The sequence below is a fragment of the Homo sapiens genome, chromosome 2 (assembly GCF_000001405.40).
Source record: "Homo sapiens chromosome 2, GRCh38.p14 Primary Assembly".
Taxonomy (NCBI): Eukaryota; Metazoa; Chordata; class Mammalia; order Primates; family Hominidae; genus Homo; species Homo sapiens.
The window spans coordinates 8,480,961-8,488,079 of NC_000002.12; the positions used below are offsets into that span (position 1 = coordinate 8,480,961).

At 45.5% G+C, this 7,119-nt stretch overlaps 1 annotated feature.

The window, feature by feature from the left end:
- Nucleotides 547-646: an enhancer, noted in NCBI's record as "active region_15257". NCBI's record gives its function as "activates an Ori minimal core promoter by ATAC-STARR-seq in GM12878 lymphoblastoid cells {active_cell/tissue: GM12878}" and the evidence as "EXISTENCE:reporter gene assay evidence [ECO:0000049][PMID:35858748]".

The following is a 7,119-nucleotide window of genomic DNA, read 5'->3' on the forward strand; positions in this document are numbered from 1 at the left end:
TCTCCTTGATGAGACAGGTTTGGGAAAAAACATAAGGCATAATTCTGGCTAACAAGCTGAGAGAGGAAGTCCGCTGGGAAACTTCTGAGGAAGCTCCTTCCTCTGAAAATGAGGCATTCACACGGGCCAGGCTGCAGGCACCACAGATCTGAAGCTGCGGTCACTCAACACAGAGATGCCTGTTATGCTCGTGTGAGAGTCCAGGGCAGTTCCAAGTGGCTGGGACAAGGGAGCAGTGGGCACAGGGAGCTCTGCTCCATGCAGTTATTGAGACTCAAGCACAGGCTGTACCATCTTCAAAACCTGGCTTCCACAGTTGCCCTGATGGTCAGACCCCAATTAACCAAAGGGGGAAAGAGCCTGGTCTGCTGTCCTTGGCAGCATCTCCTAGAAGGACAACTTAGTGACCCCAGGAACAGTTGCATTGTTGTTGGATGACAGCAGTAAAAGTGCACAACATACCGCCCTGCTGAAATCGAGAATTCTTTGCACCACCTGAACCAAGCTCATGTGTTTTAAAGACTCCTGCACAGAGACGCTTCTGGGCTGGGCATGCAGATGGCTTTCACCCTCCATCCATCAGACTCAGCCACATGGCCATGCCTGACCGCAGGGGAGGCTGGAAGATATGGTCTGGCTGTGTGTGCAGAAAGAAAAGGAAACAGCTTTGGTGCAAAAATGAAAATGCAGAGTGCCATGTTCATAATTACTAAGAATTTCCAAACAGAGGCAGCAGAGCATTACATCAGTGTAGGACCCTTCTCGGCGTGGGTTCTGTGTGGCTGCACGGTTAAACACTCAATTCAGGCCTGGACAGAGGAGGTGCTTGTCATATGGCAGCCAGCACCATCTCCTCCCTTCCTGACCCACCATGTACCTCCAGCCCATGCTACCTGTTTTCCCATTCACATTCTATCTTACGTCATCTTTCCCCATAGCTCCTTGTGGTCAGGAACCACATCACATGCCTGAGTGCACATAGGCACTTTGAGTGACTAAAGGTATCCCCAAATCAAATTGATTCTAAGTGTTCAGGGTAACAATTTCATGATGCAAAAGAAAGCACACAGATTTGAAGGTTTGATGTGGCTTTGACAGGAGTAACTAAAATCAGTTTAGCAAATCAGATTAAATTTGTGGCCCGTTTTCCTTGACAGCATCTCCTAAAAGTACAGCTTAATGACTCCATGAACAGTTGCATTTTTATTGGATGATAGTAGTAAAAGTGCACAAAATATCTCTCTGCTGAAATAGAGAATTCTTTGGCACCACCTGAACCAAGCTCATTTGTGTGTTTTAAAACAATTTGCATTTGGCCTCATGCTATGTTGTTCTTGCCTGCATGGCCCTGATGGTGCCAGTGTGGGATGATTCTGCAATGGTACGTACTCCTATAGCCAGGATGGCCCACAAGCCCTGTCACCCAGACATCCTCCTTTCCAGCCAGGTCACCTAACAGTGACAGCAGTGGTTTCCCGAAAGGGGTACAGTCCAGTGCAAACCTGGCAGTTTCCAGGCACTTAAAAGTCCAGAAGGAGGGAACCAGCTGCAAAGGGAGGGCCCAGGCCACACCAGGCTCTGAGCTTCCAGGTGAACACCCAGCTGTTCATTATGTTGTGATGATGATGGTGATGGTGATAATGATGGTGATGGTGATGATGATGGTGACAGTGATAGTGATAGTGACGGTGATGATGGTGATGGTGAGGATGATGCTAATGTTAGCCTCCTCTCAAGTTTATCATTCCCTCATTGAGTCAATTTGTATTTGCAACTGTTTATTGACTTTTCCACTCAGCAGGTGCACCTGGACATCGGGGTCGCTGAAGGCAGCTATGGTCCAGCCTCATGACTGTGAGGAGAGTGGAGAGGGAGAGTCCTCAGGGCTGGCCAGCAGTCATCCCCCACTTCTGCTGTGAAGAGAGGAGAGCAAGAGCAACTGTGTCCACATGGAGCTGTTGACTCCCTCCTCTTCCTCAGAACCAAGAAACTCCCATGTACTCTACCCGGCATAGGTCCAGTAGGAATACTACACATAAATTAATCCAAAGCTCTAAGAAGTGAGTGCTGAAAATGACTTTGGATGACATTTATCAGATGGGAAAGCGCACAGAGAGACACACACAACACATGCATACACAAGGTATGCACACACACCAATGACAGGGCATTTACTATATATATGGTACAACACCAAGCTCTTTTCATATGTCATCTCGCTTATAATCCTGTGGGTGGTATTATTATCCCCATTTTACAGGTGAGGAGACCTGCCTCCCAGGTCATTTATGTAGTGGAGCTGGGGCGCCAGTGCAGACTGAGTCTTCTTTCTGCTGTCCACTACCCCCTAGGACACTGGACTAGTCCAGGAAATAAGGCACAGTCCTGAGACAAAGTCAGAGCCTTGGAAGCAGTCAGGGCATCTCACTTTAGGGCCCCAGAGTATGGGGGATGGTGGCTGTCTGGGGCACCAGGCTCCAGACATGGTGTATTAGTCCATTTTTACACTGCTGTAAAGAAATAGCCAAGACTGGGTAATTTGTAAAGGAAAGAGGTGTAATTGACTCACAGTCCCACATGGCTAGGGAGGCCTCAGGAAACTTACAATCGTGGTGGAAGGTGAAGGGAAAGCAATGCACATCTTACATGGCAGCAGGAGTCAGGAGTGGTAACTGCCAAACACTTTTAAACCATCAGATCTCATGAGAACTCATTCACTATCACAAGAGCAGCATAGGGGAAACCACCCCCATGATCCAATCACCTCCCACCACGTCCCTCCCCTGAAACGTGGGGATTAAAATTGGAGATGAGACTTGGGTGGGGACACAGAGTCAAACCATATCACACAGGTCCATCCCATCTCTGCTCTTGGTCTCCAGCTCTTTTTCACCTTGGCAAAGTCTGTGGCACCAAAGAGGGAGAGCAGGCTTGGGAGGTCCCCACACAGGAGGCCTGGAATAGCATACCCTGCTTTCTCAGTTGCAGAATTGTGTACTTGAGATTCTGGTAACTTCTGTTGCATGAATCATTGTAAAGCATTGTTTTAGGTCATACATGGTCATTATAGAGACTTAAGGGAAAACAGAAAGAATATTCTGAAAAAGAAAAAGTAAATTAACTCTAATTGTTCCATTCCCCAGATATAGCCACTCTTCATATCTCAGGGCATTCTTTCTGGTATATGTACGCATACACGCATGCACACATATGTATATACACATGCATATACATAAATATATGCTATGTATAATACATGTTTTATATGTATTATAAATACAAGTATTTTAAATACATATAAAACATGTATTATACATAGCATATGATACATGATGGCACTACACTGTATCTACAATTTTATATCTAATAGTTTAAACCTAACATTACAACATTATCATCTTCCTGGATTATTAACTACTCTTCAATGTGATTTTAATGGCTTTAAAATATTTTATTACATATATGTAAACACCAGATTTATTTATTCCTCTATTATGGACATTAAAGTTGTGAATTTCTAATTTTACATGTGTATTAGTGAGATAAATTTTAAAATAAAAATCCTTGAACATAGATCTTGATGAACCTACCTGAATATTTCCTGAGAATAAATTCCTAAGAGTTAAAACGCTGAGTAAAAGGCTGTGAACATTTTTAAGGCTCTTGATCAACATTGCCAAATTGCTCTCGAGGAAGGCATTACCAAGTTAGGCTATCTTTGGTGGTTGCTTAATGAGCTTGGTTTGAATTATGCGTATGTAACAGGGAGTTTTAGCTGGCAGAGCTAAGGTCTAGACTGCCACACCCTCCCCCAAACACAAACATCAGTACCTGTCTGCACCCAGAGGTGCACAAGGGAGTTATTATTTTGTACTCAGGAGAGTAGAAGGGGTCGTCAGTAAAGGAGAGTCCAGCGGACAACAGAGGGGGCTTATGGTGTGTCTTCCCCAGCTGGTCCCAGGCTTCTCTCCCCAAGTGGAAGAAGAGACAGGGGAGGCCTCTGGAGAGCAGATCTGCTTCAGATCTAGAATCACTGGGAAAAGCTCACTCATTCTGTGTCTGCAGCAAGCCTAGCACCCCTCTGGCCCCCTGAGGTTTGGAAATTTGGGGAACCCTTGAAGGTAACATCATGCCTGGGACGGTGGCCTTCTTGAAGCAGACTGAGACAGCAACAAGATACCTGCTAGTTTATTCACAAGCACCAGTCTTGGATAGAGAGAACGATCCCAATGACCCCAAGTGACCTGGTTTAGGGGGTCTGGGAAGATGCCAGAAATAACTGGGAGTACTTGGGGAGGAAGTTCAGATTATCCCTCTGATGGCAGCTCTGAGCCAACCCATCCTGAGCCAACAGACAAATGAATTAGATATTCATAATTTTCTCCATAATTTTTCAGCATTTGATTGTTTTATCATGGCTAGAATCCACTCATCCATCCGTCCTCGTACTGGAAGGCTGAACAGCCCACATGTGGATCGTGGCCTCCTCAACTCCATCAACCTCGGTTGGGGAGAAAGTGCATGGGCTGCAGCGGCTCAACTACCAGACCTCAAACTCTGACTCCCAGTCCACAGCCCTAGATCCCAAACCAAAGCTCTATCACATTCATATGCGTCTAACAGCTCAAACTGAGGGCTGGCTAAGAGCTTCATAATTTAGCAGTTACAAGAACAGGGAGAGCATCAGAGTAAATTACACAGTTTAGAAGGAGGACAAGTTTAGCAAAATTAAGAATAGTGCTTTAATTTACACTTCCCTAAAAATATAATTGTTTATTTAAGAAAGCTTTTTGCCTTGTTAACAGAAATTACCAAATGAAAATGTATTTTGACTCCATAAATGTACTGGGAGTTCACCAATCTAACGTTACATAATAAAGACAAGGTCTAATCAATATTTTGATTTATGAAGGTCAAAAATCAAGGTGTGAGGTGTTTCCTTGAAGTTCAAGGCTTCAAGAGATATGCTTTAGAAGGGAAGTCCAAATAACCACAAGTCATATATCATCATCTAACTGTTTTTGCCCCTATAAACATCAGTTGGCATTTACCCTATGTTCTTCACCCACTTGGCCAGCAGTCTAATAATAACAATAACAATAAATAACTACCGGTTATCAAATACTTATTACTTGAATGTCTTGGCTCATTGAATGCTTACATGTCTATGATGTGGATCATATTCTTTTTACCATGCAATTAATTTTGTTATTGTGGTAAGAACATTAAACATGAGATTTACCCTCCTGATAAATATTTAAGTGCACGATGCTTTATTGTTGACTATAGGTACAATGCGGTACGGTAGATCTCCAGACCTTATTTATCTCGCTTGACTGAAACTTTATGCCCATTGATTAGTAACTCCCCACTTCCTGCCTCTCCAACCCCTGGTAACCAACTACCATTCACACTCTGCTTCTGTGAATTTCACTATTTTAGAGACCTCATATAAGTGTAATCATGCAGTATTTGTCTTTCTATTACTGGCTTATTTCACTTGCAATAATTGTCCTCAAGTTTCATTCATGTCATTGCATATTGCAGGATTTCCTCCTCTTTAAAGACTGAATAATATTCCATTGTATGGATGGACCACATTTTCTGTATGTACTCATCTATCCACAGACATTGTCTTAGTTGTTTCCACATCTTGGATATGTGGGCAATCTTATCAAGCCCTTTTCACAAATGAGATAACTGAGACTCAGAAAAGGCAACCCACCCACATTCAAATATTTGGTAACTTGCTCAAACCAGATCTTGCCTACCACCGACTCCATATGCCTGATGTCCACCAAGCATTTGCAACCACAGGAATAAAAGTCACTGGGTGCACATTCTACTCCAGGTGCTTTATACATCCTATCTAGAACCGAGCAACCTCACCTGGCAGACAGCTCCCTGACATGAACCTTTATGAAGAAAGCCAAGTTAGTCAAGAGGGAAGCCCCGATCCCAGCCCAAGCAGTCAGATTCCAAAGGCCCGTTTCTGCTGTTCCAAGTTGTTCTTCTCCCCGCCTGCAAATAAAAACACCTAAGGGATTTTTTTTTTTTTTTTTTTTGAGACAGAGCCTCGCTTTGTCGCCCAGGCTGGAGTGCAGTGGCGCGATCTCGGCTCACTGCAAGCTCCGCGTCCTGGGTTCACGCCATTCTCCTGCCTCAGCCTCCTGAGTAGCTGGGACTACAGGCACCCGCCACCGCGCCCGGCTAATTTTTTTGTATTTTTCAGTAGAGACGGGGTTTCACTGTGTTAGCCAGGATAGTCTCTATCTCCTCGGCCTCCCAAAGTGCTGGGATTACAGGCGTGAGCCACCTCGCCCGGCCGGATATTTTTTTTAATGTTGGTTCCCAGGTCTTTTCCTAAGAGTTTCTGATTCCATTGGTCCAGTGTGGGGCCCCAGCTTCTGCGTTTTATTTTAAAACCCCTCAGAAGATTCTAACAGTTCACTGGGCAGCCGGGGCCGACAACGGCTGCATGGCTCCCCTTATTCCTTACAGATCCCAGGCACTCCACGGGGCACATTCTGCCCTCCAGGGGCTGCCAGGTTGCTGAGCAGTGACCAGGAAACCTCACCCAATAAGAGAATTTGTCGGACGGGGGCTTTGGAGAGAGCCAAGTGAGGCCGCGGGAGGGAAGCCTGGGCCAATGCGGTTTGGGAAGAGATGGGAATTGGCAGGAAAGGATTCCTTAGGGGAGGGGACGTTTGTGCTGAGTAAGGTTCACCAAGAGAAAAAGGGGGAGAAAAGTAAACCTGCCATGCTAGCGTCTCCACTTCCCTTTCCTGCTAAACGGCTGTATGGACGTGATCCCCCAGAGGCACGGCGGGCTCCAGCCTGCCCGCTCAGCCCTTCTCTGACTGGAGAGGAAAGCACGTGTGCCCATCAGCCCACGAGCTGCAGCCACCAGCCCCACGGCCTCCTGGATGAACTCCATTAAGCCAACTCAGAGAGTTCAATTTTTGCTTCAGTTCTAAAAAGACAAATGAGGATCTGGGTGAAGAATTGTTAGAGATTTTTCATTCTAATTGAGAAACTCACCCAGAGAGGCTGCCAGAGCCCAGGTAATCAATCTCTTGGGCCGTGTGTGACAGGGCAGCCTTCGCGCCCCTATTCCAC